Source organism: Homo sapiens, chromosome 8, assembly GCF_000001405.40.
Source record: "Homo sapiens chromosome 8, GRCh38.p14 Primary Assembly".
Lineage (NCBI taxonomy): Eukaryota > Metazoa > Chordata > Mammalia > Primates > Hominidae > Homo > Homo sapiens.
The window spans coordinates 73,679,668-73,702,162 of NC_000008.11; the positions used below are offsets into that span (position 1 = coordinate 73,679,668).

Sequence of the window (22,495 nt, forward strand, 5' to 3'; positions counted from 1 at the left end):
GCCCAGTTTGAGACAAGCCTGGCTAATATGGTGAAACCCTGTTTCTACTAAAAATACAAAAAAAAAAAAAATTAGCTGGGCAAGGTGGTGCACACCTGTAATCCCAGCTACTTGGGAGGCTGAGGCAGGAGAATTGCTTGAGCCCAGGAGGCGGAGGCTGCAGTAAGCCAAGATCAACGCCACTGCACTCCAACCTGGGTGACAGACTGAGACTCCACCTAAAAAAAAAAACAAAACAAAAACAAAAACAAAAACTAGAAGCAGCAGCGATAAGAGACCCCTGTAGACACTCCCAGTCCCTAGGGAAGCCATTTTTTTTTTTTTTTTTTTTTTTTTTACTTTCATCTCACAGTGGTCCTTGGGGAAGGCAGTCAGTGGAACTAGGGAAGTACCACAGTGAGAAAGACTTCTAGCTGAACGCTGTCATAATTTTGACTGAATGCAAATTTTCCTGGGCAGAATCTGGGTGGGGGGTGGGGGAGGAGGTGGGAATAGGGGGCCGGCGGGAATAGGGGGCCAATGGAAAGTACAGATATGAGAACAGAAGCCACTGCAGGCATGGAAGGGCAAGGCCTGAAAGCCCTGCTTGCTTTCTTAGCAGGAAGACTTCTAGCCTAGGGCAAATGCTTTTTCTGCAGACACTCCCCAATACCAGCCTGGAGTCCAGTAGCTCCACTGGGTAGCTAGACCCAGAAGAAAAATAACCATCGCTGCAGTTCAGCTCTCAGGAAGCCCCATTCATAGGGAAACGGGGAGAGAACCACATCAAGGGATCATCCCGTGGGATAAAAGAATCTGAACAGCAGATTCAAGATCTTGCCTCTGACACAGTATATCCAAATGAGAAGAAACCAGAAAAACAATTCTGGTAATATGACAAAACAAGGTTCTATAACACCCTCAAAAGATCACACTAGTTCACCAGCGATGGATCCAAACCAGGAAGAAATATCTGAATTACCAGAAAAAGAATTCAGTAGGTCGGTTATTAAGCAGCTCAAGGAGGCACTAGAGAAAGGTGAAAGGCAACTTAAAGAAATTTTTAAAATAATACAAGACATGGATGAAAAAATTTCCAGAGAAATAGAATCATAAATAAAAAAGAGTCACAACTTCTGAAAATGAAAGACACACTTAGAGGCATGCAAAATATACTGCAAAGTTTCAACAATAGAATCAAACAAGCAGAAGAAAGAACTTCAGAGCTCAAAGACAAGGCCTAATCAAATTAACCCAATCTGACACAGACAAAGGAAAAAGAATTTTAAAAAATGAACAAAGCCTCCAAGAAGTTTGGGATTATGTTAAATGACCAAACCTAAGAATAAGTGGTGTTCCTGAGGAAGAAGAAAAATCTAAAAGTTTGGAAAACTTAGAGGGAATAATCAAGGAAAACTTCCTGGCCTTGCTGGAGATCTAGACATCCAAATACAAGAAGGTCAAGGAACACCCAGGGAATTCATTGCAAAAAGATCATCACCTAGGCACACAGTCAATCAGGTTATCTAAAGTCAAGTCAAAGGAAATAATCTTAAGATCTGTGAGGCAAAAGCACCAGGTAACCTATAAAGAAAAACCTATCCGATAAATAGCAGATTTCTCAGCATAAAATCTACAAGCCAGATGGAATTGAGGTCCTATCTTTAGCCTCCTTAAATAAAATAATTATCAGTCAAGAATTTTATGTCCAGTGAAACTAAGCTTCATTAATGACGGAAAGATAAAAGTCTTTTTCAGGCAAACAAATGCTGAGAGAATTTGCCACTATCAAGTCAGCACTAAAGAAGTAATAAAATGAATTATTAAATCTTGAAACAAAGCCTCAGAATACACCAAAACAGAACCTCCTTAAAGCATAAATCTCACAGGGCCTATAAAACAATAACACAATGAGAAAAAACAGACAAAAGGTATTGGGGCAACAACTAGCACAATGGATAGAATAGTACCTCACATCTTAATACTAATGTTGAATGTAAATGGCCTAAATGCTCCACTTAAAAGATACAGAATGGCAGAATGGATAAGAATTCACCAACCAAGTATCTGCTGTTTTCAAGGGACTCACCTAACACATAAGGACTCACATAAACTGAAGGTAAAGGGGTAGAAAGAGATATTTCATGCAAACAGACACCAAAAGCCAGCAGGAGTAGCTATTCTTACATCAGATAAAACAGACTTTAAAGCAACAACAGTTAAAAATGACAAAGAGGGACATTACATAATGATAAACGGACTAGTCCAACAGGAAAATATCACAATCCTAAATATAAATGCACCTAACACTGGAGTTCCCAATTTATAAAACAATTACTACTAGACCTTAATAAATGAGACAGAGGGCAAAATAATAATAGTGAGGGACTTCAATATTCCACTGACAGCACTAGACAGGTCGTTAAGACAGAAAGTCAACAAAAAAACAATGGACTTAAACTATACCCTACAACAAATGGATTTAACAGATATATACAGAACATTCTACCCAACAACTGCAAAATGCACATTGTATTCATCAACACATGGAACATATTCCAAGACAGACCACATAAGCCACAAAACAAGTCACAGTATATTTAAGAAAATCAAAATTATATCAACTACTCTCTCAGACCACAGTGGCATAAAATTGGACATCAACTGCAAAAGGAACACTCAAAAAGCATGCAAATACATGGAAATTAAATAACCTGCTCCTGAATGATTGTTGGGTCAACAATGAAATCAAAATGGAAATTTAAGAATTTGAACTGAATGATAATAGTGACACAACTTATCAAAACCTCTGGGATACAGAAAAAGTGGTGCTAAGAGCAAAGTTTACAGCACTGAATGCCTGCATGAAAAAGTCTGAAAGAGCACAAATAAGACAATCTAGGGTCACACCTCAAGAACTAGAGAAACAAGAACAAACCAAACCCAGCAGAAGAAAAGAAATAACAAAGATGAGAGCAGAACTAAATGAAATTGAAACAAAAGAAATACAAAAGATAAATAAAACAAAAAGTTGGTTCTTTGAAAAGATAAACAAAATTGATAGAACATTAGCAAGATTAACCAAAAAAAGAAGACAGAAGATCCAAATAAGCTCAATTAGAAACAAACAGGAGATATAACAACTGATACCAGAGAAATACAAAATATCATTCAAGGCTACTATGAACACCTTTACACACACAAACTAGAAAACCTAGAGGAGCTGGATAAATTCCTGGAAATATACAACCCTTCTAGGTTAAACCAGGAAGAAACAGAAACTCTGAACTGACCACAGCAAGACTGAAATGGTAATTTTAAAACTGACAACAACAATAAAAAAAGCCCAGGACCAGACGGATTCACAGCTGAATTCTAACAGACTTTCAAAAAAAGAACTGGTATTAATCCTATTGGCACTATTCCAAAAGACAGAGAAAGAGGGAATCCTCCCTAAATCATTCAATGAAGCCATTATCACCCTAATACCAAAAACAGGGAAGTACATAACAAAAAAAGAAAGCCACAGACCAATATCCCTGATGAACATAGATGCAAAAAATCCTCAACAAAATATAAGCTAACTGAATCCAACAGCGTATCGAAAAGGTAATTCACCATGAACAAGTGGGTTTCATACCAGGGATGCAGGGATAGTTTAACGTCCACAAGTCAATAAATGTGATACACCACAGAAACAGAATTAAAAACAAAAATCACATGACATCTCAACAAAGAAAAAGCATTTTACAAAATCCAGCATCCCTATATGATTAAAACCCTCAGCAAAATCGGCATAGAAGGGACATACCTTAAGGTAATAAAAGCATCTATAACAAACCCATAGCCAACGTTATACTGAACAGGGAACAAGTTGAAAGCATTCCCCCTGAGAACTGGAACAAGACAAAGATGCCCACTTTCACCACTTCTATTCAACACAGTACTGGAAGTCCTAGCCGGAGCAATCGACAAGAGAAAGAAATAAAGGGCATCCAAATCGATAAAGAGGAAGTCAAACTGTTGCTGTTTGCTGATGATATGATCGTATACCTAGAAAACCCTAAAGACTCAACCAAAAAGCTCCTAGATCTGATAAATGAATTCAGTAAAGTTTCAAGATACAAAATAAACGTACACAAGTCAGTAGCTCTGCTATACACCAACAGCGACCAAGCTGAGAATCAAATCAAGAACTCAAACCCTTTCACAATAGCTGCAAAAAAATGAAATACTTAGGAATGTACCTAATGAAGAAGGTGGAAAGAACTCTACGACAAAAACTACAAAACACTGCTGAAAGAAATCATAGAGGATACAAACAAATGGAAGCACATCCCAAACTCTTGGATGGGCAGAATCAATATTGTGGAAATAGCATACTGCCAAAAGCTATCTACAAATTCTATGCAATTCGCATCAAAATACCATCATCATTTTTCACACTACTAGAAAAAACAATGCTAAAATTCATATGGAACCAAAAAAGAGCCCACATAACTAAAGCAAGACTAAGCATAATGAGCAAATCTGGAGGCATCACATTACCTGACTTCATACTACATTATAAGGCTATAGTCTCCAAAACAGCACGATACTGCTATAAAAATAGGCACATAGACCAATGGCACAGAATAGAGAACCCAGAAATAAAGCCCAATACTTAGAGCAAACTGATTTTCATCACAGCACACAAAAAATATAAAGTGGGGAAAGGACATCCTATTCAACAAATGGTGCTGGGATAATTGGCAAGTCACATGGAGAAGAATGAAACTGGATCCTCATCTCTCACTTGATATAAAAATTAACTCAAGATGGATCAAAGACTTAAATCAAGGCCTGAAACCATAAAAATTCTAGAAGATAACATTGGAAAAACTCTTCTAGACATTGGCTTAGGCAAAGGCTTCATGACCAAGAACCCAAAAGCAAATGCAACAAAAACAAAGATAAACAGATGGGACTTAATTAAACTAAAAAGCTTCTGCACAGTTAAATAAATAATCAGCAAAGTAAACACACAACCCATAGAGTAGGAGAAAATCTTCACAAACTATGTATCTGACAAAGGACTAATATCCAGAATCTACAAGGAACTCAAATCAGCAAGAAAAAAATAATGCCATCAAAAAGTCAGCTAAGGACACGAATAGATAATTCTCAAAAGAAAATATACAAATGGCCAACAAACATGAAAAAATGTTCAACATCATGAATTATCAGAGTAATGCAAATCAAAACCACAATGCAATACCAACTGATATGGTTTGGCTGTGTCCCCACCCAAATCTCATCTTGAATTGTAATCCCCATAATCTCCATGTGTCAAGGGAGAGACAAAGTGGAGGTAATTTGAATCATGGGGGCGGTTTCCCCCTTGCTGTTCCCATGATAGTGACTGAGTTCTCACAAGATCTGATAGTTTTGTAAGGGTTTGGCAAGTTCCTCCTTCAGTCTTTTTCTCTCTTGCCACCTTATGAAGAAGATGCCTGCCTCCCATTCACCTTTAACCATGACTGTAAGTTTCCTGAGGCCTCTCAAGCCATATAGAACTGTGAGTCAATTAAACTTCCTCCTTTCCTTCATAAATTACCCAGAATCAGGAAGTTCTTTATAGCAGTGTGAGAACAGACTAACACACCACCTTACTCCTGCAAGAATGGCCATAATTTAAAAATAAAAAAATAAAGGATGTTGGCGTGGATGTGGTGAAAAGAAACACTTTTTTTTTCTTTTTTTTTTTTTTGAGATGGAGCCTCGCTCTGTCACCAGGCTGGAGTGCAGTGGTGCGATCTCAGCTCACTGCAACCTCCGCCTCCCGGGTTCACACCATTCTCCTGCCTCAGCCTCCCAAGTAGCTGGGACTACAGGGGCCCGCCACTGCCCGGCTAATTATTTTTGTATTTTTAGTAGAGACAGGGTTTCACCGTGTTAGCCAGGATGGTCTCGATCTCCTAACCTCGTGATCTGCCCACCTCAGTCTCCCAAAGTGCTGGGATTACAGGCATGAGCCACTGCGCCCAGCCAAAAAGAAACACTTTTACACCACTGGTGGGAATGTCAACTAGTAAAACCACTATGGAAAACAGTATGGAGATTCCTTAAAGAACTAAAAGTAGAACTACCATTTGATCCAGCAATCCCACTACTGGGTATCTACCCAGAGGAAAATAAGTCATTATATGAAAGAGACACTTGTATACACATGTTTATAGCAGCACAATTCACAATTGCGAAAACATAAAACCAGCCCAAATGCCCACCAATCAACGAACGGATAAAGAAAATGTGGTGTACATATATACCATAGAATACTACTCAGCCATAAAAAGGAATGAAATAATGGCATTTACAGCTAACTGGATGGAGTTGGAGACCATTATTCTAAGTAAAGTCACACAGGAATGGAAAACCAAATGTAGTATGTTCTCATAAATGGGAGGTAAGCTACAAGGACACAAAGGCATTGAGAATGATACAATGGGCCGGGCGCGGTGGCTCACGCCTGTAATCCCAACACTTTGGGAGGCCAAAGCAGATGGATCACGAAGTCAGGAGATGGAGACCATCCTGGCTAACATGGTGAAACCCTGTCTCTACTAAAAATACAAAAAAATTAGGCCAGGCACAGTGGCTCACACCTGTAATCCCAGCACTTTGGGAGGCCGGGGTGGGCAGATCATGAGGTCAGGAGATCGAGACCATCCTGGCTAACACAGTGAAACCCCGTCTCTACTAAAAATACAAAAAATTAGTCAGGCGTGGTGGCACATGCCTGTAGTCCCAGCTACTTGGGAGGCTGAGGGAGAAGAATTGCTTGAACCCGGGAGGCAGAGGTTACAGTGAGCCGAGATTGCACCACTGCACTCCAGCCTGGTGACAGAGCGAGACTCCCCCTCAAAAAAAAAAAAAAACAATGGATTTTGGGGATCTGGGAGAAGGTTGGGAGGGGAATGAGGGGTAAAGACTACACATTGGGTACAGCATACACTGCATGGGTGATGGGTGCAACAAAATCTCAGAAATCATCACGGAAGAATTTATCAATGTAACCGAATACCACCTGTTCCCCAAAAACTATTGAAATAAAAAAAAAAAGATAATGACATATAATGTTGTTCGTATTGTATGCAATTAGAACAACTCTTTAAAATTATTCTTAGGAGCTTAAAATTAGAACAGTAATTTACTTAGCAGTATTTTACATGCAGGTGGTTTGCGGAATTTGTGATGGGGTTTCTTTCTTTTTTTTTTTTCTTTTGAGACAGAGTCTTGCTCTGTCGCCCAGGCTGGAGTGTAGTGGCGTGATCTCGGCTCACTGAAACCTCCGCCTGCCAGGTTCAAGCAATTCTCCTGCCTCAACCTCCTAAGTAGTGGGGACTACAGGCACGCGCCACCATGCCCAGCCAATTTTTGTATTTTTAGTAGAGACGGGGTTTCACCATGCTGGCCAGGCTATATATAAATATATAGTTTTATATATTATATAAATTTATATAAATTATATTTATATAATTATGTATAATTATATAATATATACAATATATTATAAATTTTTTAATTTAAATATAAACTTAAATATAAATTAATTTAAATATAAATTAATTTATATTTCTATTAATTTACATTTATAAAAATTTATATTTATATTTATAAATATAATTTATATTTATATTTATAAATATAATTTATATTTATAATTTATATAATATAAATATAATTTATAATTTATATTTATAAAAATAATATATTTATATTTAAATTAATTTAAATATAAATATATATTTATAATATATAAATATATAATATATAAAATAAAATATATATAATTATATAATATATAAAATATAGTTTTTTATATATATAACTATATATTTAAACTATATATTTAAAAAGAGAAATTAATCATTTTTTGTAATTTTTTTTTTGCAGGGGTAGAAACAAGGTCTTGCTATATTGCCCAGGCTGCTCTCAAATTCTTGGGTTCAAGCAATCCTCTTACCCAGGCCTCCCAAAGTGCTAGGATTACAGGTGGGAGCCACTGCACCAAGCCACTATCATTTTTGTTTGTTTGTTTTTTGAGACAGAGTCTCGCTCTGTCGCCCAGGCTGGAGTGCAGTGGCACGATCTTGGCTCACTGCAACCTCTGCCTCCCGGGTTCACGCCATTCTCCTGCCTCGGCCTCCTGAGTAGCTGGGACTACAGGCACCCGCCACCATGTCCAGCTAATTTTTTTGTATTTTTTTAGTAGAGACAGGGTTTCACTGTGTTAGCCAGGATGGTCTCAATCTCCTGACCTCGTGATCCACCTGCCTCGGCCTCCCAAAGTGCTGGGATGACAGGCGTGAGCCACCGCGCCCGGCCTACTATCTTTACTTTAAAAAAAAAAAACTCAGTCAAATTTTCTGTGCTTTGTATTCAAATATGTTTTTGCCAACATTAAAAAAGTAAACAATGCACTTTTATAGTATCCACTAAAGCAAATTTTAAAAACAATTACAATTACTTTCTTCATCCTCTCACCTTCATTTTTTTTTTTTTTTTGAGATGGAGTTTCGCTCTTGTTGCCCAGGCTGGAGTGCAATGGCGCGATCTTGGCTCACTGCAACCTCCATCTCCCAGATTCAAGCAATTCTCCCGCCTCAGCCTCCTGGGTAGCTGGGATTATAGGCACCTGGCTAATTTTTTATATTTTTAGTAGAGACAGGGTTTCACCATGTTGGCCAGGATGGTCTCGAACTAATTACCTAACATGATCCACCCGCCTCGGCCTCCCAAAGTGCTGGGATTACAGGCGTGAGCCAACGCACCAAGCCTCCTTCAGTTATTTTTATGCTACCGTGTGTGTGTGTGTGTGTGTGTGTGTGTGTGTGTGTGTGTGTAGGTATGGGCATATGTGTACTATTAATACTTGCTCACTCTGTTACTAGCCTACTATAAATGAAACATACAACAAGCAGAACACACATAGCAGACAACATAACAGAAGGAGTCACTGCCATACCTGGGTTATTGTTAACATTACTTTTGGGTGGCTTCTGAACTGGTTTGGGAAGCGTAGATTCAGTCAAAGCTTTATTGGCAACAGCCTGCTGAGCCTTCTTTATACTGCTGCCTTCGGATTCCCATGTCTGCTCACCAAGACTCAGCTGCACTGAGAACATCTTAGAAAAACATAAATAGACAAAGAAAACATTAAGACTTTTCCAAGAAATAAAATTGGCTGTCTGAGAGAAAAATAAACATCATAGAATCAGAATTTTAGAGCTAGAGGTGACCTTACCTACAGATCATCTGCAACAAAATCTTACTCTACCTAGTGAAGAAATTTTAAGAGAGTACCAAATTCTGTTCTATCCTATCCAAAAGCTTAGTAGCAGATCTAGGTGTACATTCTGGGTAGAATAAATCAAGAAGCAATCTTTCCTCTAAATGGAATCACAATGTTAATGTCATTCAAATGGTCCTCACAAAAGCAGAATAAGTAGAAATAATAAGAGAAACTGTAAGAGAAGCCAAAAGACCATGTGTCTATAATACTTTCATAAAATCTAATTCCTTGAATGTTACATTTAGCACAATCTAGGCAATGAGTCAGGCAATTCTATTAAATATTATACTACCAAAAAACTCTGAATCTCCACAACAAACATTGAGCCAATCACTAAATTCTGTCCATTTTAACATCATAAATATTTCTCAAATCTTCTTCCTCTCTCTGCCAACTGGATCCAGCCTTTCATCATCTTTAGCTTGGACATAATATTCTTCCAGCTGATCACTGCTAAAACTATCTTTCTAAAACACAAATCCAACTTCATCACCCCAATCAACATCAGGTTAAAACCCTTCAACTGTTCCTGTTTTAGCATGGCACAAAGGCTCTACCTGTGCATCCTCATCTCACACACATCCTTCCACTAACATGCTCTGAATTCCATTCTCACTGTATTTCCATATGAGCCCCCAAACCTATTCTTCACCTTTAAAATTCAGAATCAAGTTACATGATATGCGCATAATTGGTTTCACTCCAGACTGCATATTACTTTCTAGGAATACTAAGTATTAACTTAAAATTACTTATTACAAAAAAATATATATTATTGTAGAAAGGAGATCAGATAGAAAATACCTTCACTAAGTTAGCATCACCAATAATCATACAAATTGACGTCATGTGCCCCCTGATACAATCCAGTGAGAAGTATATATCAACAACCATGTACAATTCTTGGCCAAAAATGTTTAATCTGAATCTAATCACAGGGAAACAACCAGAGAGATCTAGATTATGGGACATTCTATAAAACAAATGGCCTAGGCTCCAAAAATGTCAATGTCATAAAAGGAAAAAAAAAACAAAGAATGCAGGGAGGACACTAAAGAGACATGAAGGCCGTGCACAGTGGCTCACGCCTGTAATCCCAGCACTTTGGGAGGCTGAGATGGGCGGATCACAAGGTCAGGAGATTGAGACCATCCTGGCTAACACAGTGAATCCCCATCCCTACTAAAAATACAAAAAATTTAGCCAGACGTGGTGGCGGGTGCCTGTAGTCCCAGCTACTCGGGAGGCTGAGGCAGGAGAATGGCATGAACCCAGGAAGCGGAGCTTGCAGTGAGCCGAGATTGCGCCACTGCACTCCAGCCTGGGTGACAGAGCGAGACTCTGTCTCAAAAAAAAAAAAAAAAAAGGAAAAGAAAAGAGACATGAAAAGACATGATAAATACCATGCATGATCCTTCATTATATCTAAAATGGGAAGGGGAAAAAAGCTGTAAAGGACATTCAGAGGACAACTGGGGAAATGTGACTATGAACTATACATTAAGTAATAGGTTTAGCCAGGATTAAATTTCTTGTGTGATTAACAGTATTGTGATTATGAAGAACGTCTTTAGTCTTACAAGATAGATATGTAAGTATTTAAGAGTGAAGTGTCATGGTAGCTGAAATTTACTTTCAAATTGTTCAAGGAAAAATTATATGTCAATATAGAGGGAGCAAGAAATAAAGTAATGTGGCAAATAAATTAACGATCGGTGAATCTAAACCATACATGAGTGTCTATTACACCACTCTTTCCATTTTTTCTGTAGATTTTTAATTAATCAAAATAGAGAATTGGGATTTGTCATTTGAAATTCACAACATAAACATACCTGTTTAAAGTGATTAAATTTTCTTTTATTCTAATTCAGTTTAAAATATATACCTAAAATGTATCTTTAATACTCTCTCTGGTTTCAGAATGATTTTTCAATGACTAGCTCTTTTTCTTCAAATTTTGGTATTTAACAAAGAACTTTGCCACAAAGTAAGAAAGTTCAAAGGTTTCACATGATATATATAATATACATAATCTTGCATATAGCTCATATGCTTGAAAACAGAAATACCCACATAAATGACCTTGAGATTCCTGATTGCATCAGGAAAGCATATTAAATTTACTCTGCATGTCTCCAGACCTGACCTCTCCTAAACAACAATCACATAAATCTAACTGTCTACTTGGTATTTCCACAAACTCAAGAGGTAAAAGGTCAAACAAAACACTGCCTCCTCCACTCTACCCCCTCCAAATCAGTTCATACCCCAAAATGTTTAATCCATTATCTCCCAATAGTTCAGGTTCAAACCTCATTAGTTTCGTTTATCCTTGCCTTCCTAAGGCTTATTTAACATCTCATAACTCTTCGTTGTAATTTATATTGTCACCTCCTTGGTCTAAGGTTTCTATAAACTCAGACTCAGTATACTTCATTTAGCTCCTATCTCTAATCTTTCCTGCCTCCTAATCATCCAGATGTCACCATTTTCCCAATCTCATGAGCCAGACACCTTTGAGAGGTCTTCCCTTCTCTCCTGCTTGCAATTAACAACTACTGACTCAACTTAAATGTTTTTCAGACCTGGCCTCCTCTCTTTATACTAAGATATATACATGCACCAATGTCTTTATACTAAGATATATACATGCACCAATGATATGTGGACAATATCAGTATCTCTCCCCTAAACTACCACAACACCACCTGTGGTATATAAGAAATATGTATTTGGTCTCCGGCCCTGGTTCCTAACACAGAGCTCCCAAAACCTTGTAATTTCCGGAAGGACAGGAGAACTAGGAGCATTTTTGTTCTAATATTTGGTCTTTGATCCCAATTTCTAACACAGAGCTCTTAAATTCCTTGGAATTTCCTGGGTGATAGGAAATTTTTATTCTAATGAGCCAACTCTTGGCAGGCCCCTGGATAGAGAGCTAGTCTGAGGGCCAGTCACCAGAAAAACTAAGCCATGGTTAGAAACTTCATTTTTAGCCCCATCCCATTCCTATCCACCACGGAGGAAAGAGGGGCTGGAGACTGAGTTAATAATCGATCATGCCTATGTGACAGAGCCTCCATAAATATCCCTAAAAGATAGGGTACAAAAAGCTTGCAGGCTGGTGAACACACTGAGGTGCTGCAGGGTGGCACACCCAGACAGGGCTTGGAAGCTCCATTTCCCTTCTCACACACTTCATCCTACGTACTTCTTTTTTTTTTTTTTCCCCGGAGATGGAGTCTTGCTCTGTCGCCAAGGTTGGAGTGCATGGCACAATCTCGTCTCATTGCAACCTCCGCCTCCCAAGTTCAAGTGATTCTCCTACCTCAGCCCCCCAAGTAGCTGGCATCACAGGCACAAGCCACCATGCCGGGCTAATTTTTGTATTTTTAGTAGAGACGGGGTTTCACTATGTTGGCCAGGCTGGTCTCGAACTCTTGACCTCGTGATCCACCCACCTCAGCCTCCCAAAGTGCTGGGATTACAGGCGTGAGCCACCACGCCGGCCCTCCTATGTACTCTTTATCTGGCTGTTCACCTATATACTTTAGAATATCCTTTATAATAAACTAGTAAATATAAGTATGTGTTCCCCTGAGTCTTGTGAGCTGTTTTAACAAATTATGGAACCTGAGAAGAGGGTGCTGAGAGCCCCCGGTTTATAGCCAGTTGGTCACAAGTTTAGAAGACCCAGATTTGTGACTGTCATGTGAGGTGAGAGCAGTGTTGTGGGACTGAGCCCTTAACCTGCAGGGTCTGCACTAACCGTGGGCAGTTAGTGTCAGAATTTAGTTAAATAGTAGGACATCCAGTCAATGTATGGGGACAATTGCAGAATTCGCTGGCGTGGAAAAAAACCCCACATATTTAGTGTCAGAAATGAAGTGTTACAGCCAGGTGTGGTGGCTTATGCCTGGAATCCCAGCACTTTGGGAGGCCAAGGTGGGAGGATCACTTGAGCTCAGAAGTTCGAGACCAGCCTGGGCAACACAGGGAGACCTCAGCACTACCACAAATGTAAAAAATTATCCAGGCATGGTGGTGCGCACCTATAGTCCCAGCTACTGAGGAAGCTGAAGCAGGGGGATCCCTTGAGCCCAGGAGATGAACGCTGCAGTGAGCTATGACTGCACAACTGCACTCCAGCCTAGGCAACACAGCAAGACCCTATCTCGGAAACAAATTTTTTAATTTAAAAAAAAGTGGGCTGGGTGCGGTGGCTCACGCCTGTAATCCCAGCACTTTGGGAGGCCGAGGCGGGCGGATCACGAGGTCAGGAGATCGAGACCATCTTGGCTAACACGGTGAAACCCCATCTCTACTAAAAATACAAAAAAAATTAGCCGGGCGTGGTAGCAGGTGCCTGTAGTCCCAGCTACTCGGGAGGCTGAGGCAGGAGAATGGCGTGAACCCGGGAGGTGGAGCTTGCAGTGAGCCAAGACAGCGCCACTGCAGTCCAGCCTGGGCGAAAGAGTGAGACTCCGTCTCAAAAAAAAAAAAAAAAAAGTGTTGGAAGTATAGAAAAAAATTTCTTTTTACTATCTTAAAGCAGTTCCCTTAATATGACCTTCCCATTCAAACTACCATTCTTACCACCATCGACATGAACATTCTGTAAAACCATCAACATGAACATTCTGTAAAATATAAGTATTTCCAAGGCAATCCTATGCTTTTCTACAATCTCTCTTAAGATTCCTACTACAGTAAAAAGTGTAGTAGTTTTAAGACGGAATGCTGGAGACACACTGTTTATGAATTTAAGCCTTGGCTTCGCCATTTACTATGTACAACACTGGGAAGTTAATTATTCTTTCTAACTCTCAGCTTCTTACCTCTTTAGTGAAATGAGGCTAATAAGAACACATGGTTAGTTGTGAAAATTAGAACAAAATGGTGTAAACACCCCCACTTGAAAGTCAGAGATTGTCAAACTAGATAAAAATGCAAAATCAAACTACATGCTACCTACAAAAACTGTACTTCAAATATAAAAGCACATATAGTTTTAAAGTAATGAGAAAAACATATACTGACATAAATCAAGGAGAAATTAGAATGGCTATATTAATATCAGACTAAGTGGATTCCAGAGTAAAGACTATTACCAGTGGTAACGAAGGTCATTTCATATGAATAAAGAAAGCAATTAAGAAGACATTGATATCCTAAACATTTAGGCACCTAATAACACAGCTTAAATAAATGAAGCAAAAACTGACAAAACTTAAACTATAAAATTGACAATTAAAGTCAGATTCAATACTCCTTATCAAAAACTGATATAACAAGCAAAAAAAATCACCAAGAATATAGTACAGTTGAACAACACTATCAGCCAACACAATCTTATCAACACTGTTAGAATACTCCAACCAAGAAAAGCAGAATATACACTTGCTCTCAATTGTTCACAGGACATTTACCAAGACAGACCATATTCTGGGCCATAAAATAAGTCTCAATAAATACAAAGAATTCAGACCACACACAAAGTATGTTCATTGGGTAAAGTTACAGAAGAGGGTAGAGTAAAATTACAGAGGAGGGTAGAGCAAGATGGTGGAACAAAAGCCTATATATCATTCATCACCCCCAGTGGAACACCAAATTTTAACAACTATGGACACAAAAAAGCACCGTTACAAGAAACAAAAATCAGGTGAACAATCACAGTGTCTGGCTTTAACTTCATATTGCCAAAAGAGGCATTGAGGAGGGTAGGAGAGTCTTGAATCACCAACATCAACCCTCTCCCACACTCCCAGCAGCAGCCATGTGGCGTGGAGAGAAAATCTGTACACTTTGAGGGAGGAGAGCACGGCTATTGGAAAACAGTACATTAAACTCAGTGCTGCCCTGTCACAGCAGACAATGAAAATGTGCTGGACTCAGCCAGCACCTGCACAGGGAGGGAGGATTTGGACCAGCACTAGCTGGAGGGGAATTGCCCATCATAGCAGTTGGAACTTGAATTTCTTGGCAAGACTTGCCACCACAGGCTGAAGTGCTCCGGGGTCCTAGATAAATCTGAAAGGCAGTCTAGGACACGAGACTGTGCTTCCTAGGCAACTCCTAGTGTGAGGCTGGGCTTAGAGCCAGTGAACTAGGATGGCACGCAACCTAGGGAGACACCAGCTGGAATGGCTAAGGGAGTGCTTATGCCATCCCTCCCCTAACCCCAGGAAGTGCAACTTGTAGCAACGAAAGTATCTACTTCCTTCTGCTTAAGGAGAGGAGAGTGAAGAAAAAAGAGAACTTTGTCTTGCATTTTGGATATCAGCTAAGCCACCATAGGATAAGGCACCAGGCAGAGCCGTGAGGCCCCCATTCCAGGCCCTAGCTCCAAGATAACATTTGTAGACACACCCTGGGCCAGAAAGGAACCCACTGCCTTGAAGGTAAGGACTCAATCCTGGCAGGATTCATTACCTGCTGACCAAAGAACCAATGGGTCCTGAATAATCACCACTGATACCCAAGGAGTATGCAGTGGGCCCTGGGCTCTGACATGTACTGGCTTCAGGGGTGACCCAGCACATTCCCAGCTGTGGTGGCTATTGTGAAAGACTCCTGTTTAAGAAAAGCAGACAGAAAAGTAAAGGGAACATTGTCTTGTGCCCTAGGTACCAGCTCAGCCACAGCAGGAAGAGCAAAAAGCAGGCTCTTGGGGTCCCTGAGTCCACACCTACGCTGGACAGCATTTCCGGATCTACTTCAGGGAGCCCACTGCCCTGAAGAATGAGCCCATGGACCAGTGGTGGTGTTGGTGGCCACACAAGGAGAGGTTCCTCTGCCTGTGGAAAGGGGAGGGAAGAGTGGGAGGGATTTTGTATTATGGATTGAGTGCCAGCTTAGCCACAATAGAAGAAAACATCAGGTAAATTGCTAAGGTTTTTGACTCCAATCCCTGGCTCTCAGACAGCACCTCTGGACACACCTGGAACCCAGGGAAAAACCCGCCACCCTGAAGGGAAGGGCCTTGGGCAAGGCCAGTGCTGTGCTGGCTTCAGGTCTGACCCAGAGCAATCCCAGGGATGATGACCACAGAGGTGCCTGCATCACCACACCCCCAATTCCAAGTGGCTTAGCACTCCATTTGTTTGGGAGAAAGTAAAGAAAAAGAACAACAATCTCTGCCTGGTAATCCTGAGAATTCTTCCGGATCTTATCCAAGGCTGCCAAGGCTGTACCTCTAACAAGTCTCCAAAAGCCACAGCATTGTTGGGCTTGGGGCCCAAGTCCCTTCAAATTCCTGGGAAAGCCTTCCCAAGGACAGGCATAAACAAACTCAGACTCTGAAGACTACAATAAATACCTAACTGTTTAAAGCCCAGACACCAACAAGTATCTACAACCATCGACACCATTCAGGAAAACATGACCTAACCAAATGAACTAATATAAAGCACAAGGGATCAATCCTGGAAAAACAGAGATACATGACCTTTCAGGCAGAGAATTCAAAATAGCTGTTTTGAGGAAACTCAAAGAAATTCAAGACAACACAGAAAGGGAATTTGGAATTCTTATCAGATAAATTTAACCAAGAGATCAAAATTAAAAAGAATCAAGCTGATATTCCAGAGTTTAAAAATGCAACTGACATGATGAGGACTACATCAAAGTCTCTTAACAACAGAAATGATTAAGAAGAATTAGTGAGCTTGAAGACAGGCTATTTGAAATTACACAGTTAGAAAAGACAAAAGAAAAAAATTAAAAAGCAATGAGGCACACCAAAAACATCTAGAAAATAGCCTCAAAGGGGCAAATGTAAGACTTACTGGCCTTAAAGAAAAGGTAGAAAAAGAGATAACAGTAGAAAGTTTATTCAAAGGGATAATAACAGAGAATTTCCCAAACGAGAAAGATAACATTCAAATACAAGAAGGTTATAGAACACCAAGCAGATTTAACCCAATGATGACTACCTCAAAGCATTTAAGAATCTAATTCCCTAAGGTCAAATATAAAGAAAGGATCCTAAAAACAGCCAGAAAAAAAGAAATAAATAACATACAATAGAGCTCCAATACAACTGGCAGCAGACTTTTGTTGTTTTGTTTTGTTTTGTTTTGTTTTGAAACAGAGTCTCACTCTGTCACCCAGGCTGGAATGCAGTGATGCGATCTTGCCTCACTGCAACCTCCACCTCCCAGGTTCAGGCAATTATCCTGCCTCAGCCTCCTGAGTAGCTGAGATTACAGGCGTGCACCACCATACCCAGCTAATTGGCAGCAGACTTTTCAGTGGAAACTTTAAAGGTGAGGAGAGTGTGGCAAGACATATTTTAAGTGCTGAAGGAAAAAAACTTTCACCTAGAATAGTATATCTGGTGAAAATATCCTTTAATTATGAAGGAGAGATAAAGTCTTTCCCAGACAAACAAAAGCCGAAGGATTTCATCAACACCAGACTTGTTCTACAAGAAATCCTGAAGGGAGTTCTTCAATCTGAAAGAAAAGGATATTAATGAAAGAAGAAATCATCTGAAGGTACAAAATGCACTGGTAACGGTAAGCATACAGAAAAATACAGAAGAGTATAACACTGTACCTGTGGTGTATAAACTACTCTTAACTGAAGTAGAAAGACTAAATAATGAACCAATCAAAAATAATAGCTACAACAACTTTTCAAGAAATAGTGTAATAAGACATAAAGAGAAACAACAAAAAGTTAAAAAGCTGGCAGCGGGGACAAAGTTAAAGTGTAGAGTTTTAATTAACTTTCTTTTTGCAAGTTTGTTTCTGCAATTGTGTTAAGCTGTCATCAGTTTAAAATAATGCGTTATAAGTATTAGTATTTGCACCGGCGCAGTGGCTCACACTTGTAATCCCAGTACTTTGGGAGGCCAAGGCAGGTAGACTGCTTGAGGTCAGAAGTTTGAGACCAGCCTTGCCATCACGGTGAAACCCCATCTCTACTAAAAATACAAAAATTAGCCAGGTGTGGTGGTGCACACATGTAATCCCAGCTACTTGGGAGGCTGAGGCATGAGAATCGCTTGAACCTGGGAGGCAGAGATTGCAGTGAGCCAAGATCACGCCACTGTACTCCAGCCTGAGAGACAGAGCAATACTCTGTCTCAAAAAAAAGAAAATTAATTTAAAAAAGATAGTATTTGCAAGCCTCATAGTAACCTCAAATCAAAAAACATACAACAGATACACAAAAAAATAAAATGCAAGAAATTAAAGCATACCACCACAGAAAATCACTTTCACTAAAAGGAAGACAGGAAGAAAGGAAAGAAGGAAGAAAAGACTGAAAACCACCAGAAAACAAATAACAAAATGGCAGGAGAAAGTTCCTATTTAGCAATAATAACACTGAATGTAAATGAACTAAATTCCCCAGTCAAAAGACATAGAGTGGCTGAATGGAGAAACAAACAAGATCCAATGATCTAAACACACCCCACCTATGAAGACACACACAGACAGAAAAGAGAGGGATGGAGAAACATATTCCATGGCAACGGAAACCAAAAAAGAGCAGACACAGCTATACTCATATCAGAAAAAGTAGTATAGATTTCAAGACAAAAACTGTAAGGAGAGACAAAAAAGGTCATTATATAATGATAAAGGGGTCAATTCAGCAAGAGGATATAATAATTGTAAATATATATGCAACCAACACTGGAGCACTCAGATACATAAAGCAAATATTATTAGACCTAAAGAGAAAGACAGACCCCAATACAATAACAGCTGGAGACTTCAACACCCCGCTTTCAGCATTGCACAGATCTCCCAGAAAGAAAATCAACAAAGAAACATCAGAGTTATTCTGCACTATAGACAAAATGGATCTAGTAGATATTTACACATTTCATCCAATGGCTGCAGAATACACATTTTTCTCCTCGACACATGGATCATTCTCAAGGATAAACCATGTTAGGTCACAAAACGAGTCTTAAAACATTAAAAAAAAAAAAAGAGAGAGAGAGAGAAAAAGAAAAAAGAAAGAAAACCTAAAATAATATCAAGCATCTTCACTGACCACAATGGAATAAAACTACAAATCAATAACAAGAGGAATTTTGGAAACTACACAAACACATGAGAATTAAACAATATGCTCCTGAATGACCATTTCAATGAAGAAATTAAGAAGGGAATTGAAAAATTCCTTGAAACGAATGGTAAACCAAAGCCTATGGGATACAGCAAAAGCAGTACTCAGAGGGAGGCTTATAGCTACACACACCTACATCAAAAAAGTGGAAAAATTTCAAACAAACAATCTAACAATGCACCTTAAAGAACTAGAAAAATAAGAGCAAACTAAACTCAAAATTAGTAGAAGAAAAGAAATAATAAAGATCAGAGCAGAAATAAATGAATTTGAAATGAAAAAATTATACGAGATCACTAGAACAAAAAGTTGGTGTTTGAGAAGATAAACAAAATTGACAAACGATTTAGCCAGACTAAGAAAAAAAGAAAGAAGGCCCAAGTAAATAAAACCAGAGATGAAAAAGGAGACATTACAATGGATACAACAGAAATTCAAAGGATCGTTAGTGACTACCGTGAGCAACTATATGCCAAAAAATTGAAAAATCTTGAAGAAACAGACAAATTCCTAGACACATACACCCTACAAAGATTGAACCCGGAAGAAATCCAAAACCTGAGCAGACCAATAACAAGTGAGGAGATCAAAGCAGTAATGAAAAGCTTCCCAGTAAAGAAAAGGCCAGGACCCAACAGCTTTACTGCTGAATTCTACCAAATATTTAAAGTGGAACTAATACCAATCCTACTCAAACTATTCTGAAAAATAGAGGAGGACGGAATGCTTCCAAACTCATTCTGTGAGGCCAGTATTACCCTGATACCAAAAACCAAACACACATCAAAAAAAAAAAAAAAAAAACCTACAGACCAATACCTCTGATGAATATTGATGCAAAAACCCTCAACAAAATACTAGCAAACCTAATCCAACAATACATTTAAAAGATCATTCATCATGACCAAGTGGGATTTATCACAGTGATGCAAGGATGGCTCAACACACACAAACCAATCAATGTGATACATCACATCAACAAAATGAAGGACAAAAACCATACATTTCAATTGGTGCCAAAAAAGCATCTGATAAAGTTCAACATCACTTTGTGATAAAAACCCTCAAATAACTGGGCATAAAAGGAACATGCCTGAACATAATAAAAGCCATATATGACAGATCCACAACTAGTATCATAATGAATGGGGAAAAACTGAAAGCCTTTCCTCTTAGGTCTGTAACACAACAAAGATGCCCACTTTCACCACTGTTATTCAACATAATACTGAAAGTACTAGCTAGAGCAATCAGGCAAGAGAAAGAAAGAAAGGGCATCCAAATTGGAAAAGAAGAAGTCAAATTATCATTGTTTGCAGATGATATGATCTTATATTTAAAAAAACCTAAAGACTCCAACAAAAAACTATTAGAACAGATAAACAAATTTAGTAAAGTTGCAGGATACAAAATAAATATACTAAATCAGTAGCATTTCTATATGCCAACAGTAAACAATCTGAAAAAGAAATCAAAAAAGTAATCCCATTTATAATAGCCTTAAATAAAATTTAATACCTAGGAATTAACTCAACCAAGGAAGTGAACGATCTCTACAATGAAAACTATAAAACACTGATGAAAGAAACTGAAGAGGACATGAAAAAATAAATTGGAAGAATCAAAGCAACCTACAGACTCAACGCATTCCCTATCAAAATATCAATGACATTCTTCAGAGAAATAGGAAAAACAATTCTAAAATTTATATGGAATCACAAAAGAACCAGAATAGCCAAAGCTATCCTGAGCAAAAAGAACATAACTGGAGGGACCACATTATCTGACTTCAAATTATACTACAGAGCTATAGAAACCAAAACAACAGGGTACTACATAAAAATAAACACACAGACCAATGGAACAGAAGAGAGAATCCAGAAACAAATCCACACACCTACGATGAACTCATTTTTGACAATAGTGTCAAGAACATACACTGGGGAAAAGACAGTCTCTTCAATAAATGGTACTGGGAAAGCTAGATATCCATATGCAGAAAAATGAAACTAGACCCCTATCTCTTGCCATACACAAAAAAAATCAAATCAAAATGGATTAAAGGCTTAAATCTAAGACCTCAAACTATGAAACTATTACAAGACGACATTAAGGAAAATTTTCAGGATGCTGGAGTGGGCAAACATTTCTTGAGTAATACCCCACAGGCAGAGGCAACCAAAGCAACAATGGACAAATGGGATCACATCAAGTTAAAAACCTTCTGCACAGCAAAGGAAACAGTCAACAAAGTGAAGAAACAACCCACAGAATGGGAGAGAAATATGTGCAAACTATCCATCTGACAAGGTATTAATAATCAAAATATATAAGAAGCTCAAATAACTCTATAGGAAAAAAATCTAATAATCCAATTTAAACAACAAACAGGTATATGAAAAGGTGCTCAACATCACTGATCATCAGAGAAATGCAAATCAAAACTACACTGAGATATCATCTTGCTCAAGTTAAAATGGCTTTTATCCAAAAGTCAGGCAATAATAAATGCTGGCAAGGTTGTGGAGAAAAGGGTACCCTCATACGTTGTTAGCAAGAATGTAAATTAGTACAACCACTATGGAGAACAGTTTGGAGGTTCCTCAAAAAACTAAAAATAGAACTACCATGCAATCCAGCAATCCCGCTGCTGGGTATATTCCCAAAAGAAAAGAAATCAGTATGTTGAAAAGATATCTACACTCCCATGTTTTTTAGGAGTGCTTACAATAGCTAAGATTTCGAATCAACCTAAGTGTCCATCAATAGATGAATGGATAAAGAGTGGTATTTATACACAATGGAGTACTATTCAGCCATAAAAAAGAATGAGATCCTGTCATTTGCAATAACATGGATAGAACTGGACGTCACTATGTTAAGTGAAATAAGCCAGGTACAGAGAGACAAACATCACATGTTGTCACTTATTTGTGAGGTCTAAAAATCAAAACAATTGAATTCACAGAGATAGAGAATAGAAGGATGGTTACTAGAGATTGGGAAAGGTAGCAGGAAGGTTGAGGGGATGGGAAGATGGTTAATGGGTACCAAAAAAAAATTAGTTAGAAAGAATGGATAAGACCT

At 38.7% G+C, this 22,495-nt stretch overlaps 1 protein-coding gene across 7 annotated transcripts in view, besides 1 other annotated feature; it reads right to left on the minus strand.

Moving 5' to 3' along the window:
* The window catches only part of STAU2 (staufen double-stranded RNA binding protein 2), a 327,112-nt gene that overhangs the window by 259,299 nt on the left and 45,318 nt on the right, over window positions 1-22,495 (minus strand). For 5 of the 7 annotated variants that reach the window (NM_001164381.2, NM_001164380.2, NM_001164384.2 and 2 more), the window contains one exon: window positions 8,987-9,146. The exons of the other annotated variants lie outside the window; for them this stretch is intronic. In NM_001164381.2, the coding sequence (NP_001157853.1) occupies window positions 8,987-9,146 (160 nt within the window). The remainder of the gene's footprint in view (window positions 1-8,986; window positions 9,147-22,495) is intronic. 7 annotated transcript variants of the gene reach the window in all.
* Window positions 2,124-2,324: a silencer, noted in NCBI's record as "peak7072 fragment used in MPRA reporter construct". NCBI's record gives its function as "represses an SCP1 promoter by STARR-seq MPRAs in K562 erythroleukemia cells {active_cell/tissue: K562}" and the evidence as "EXISTENCE:reporter gene assay evidence [ECO:0000049][PMID:32103011]".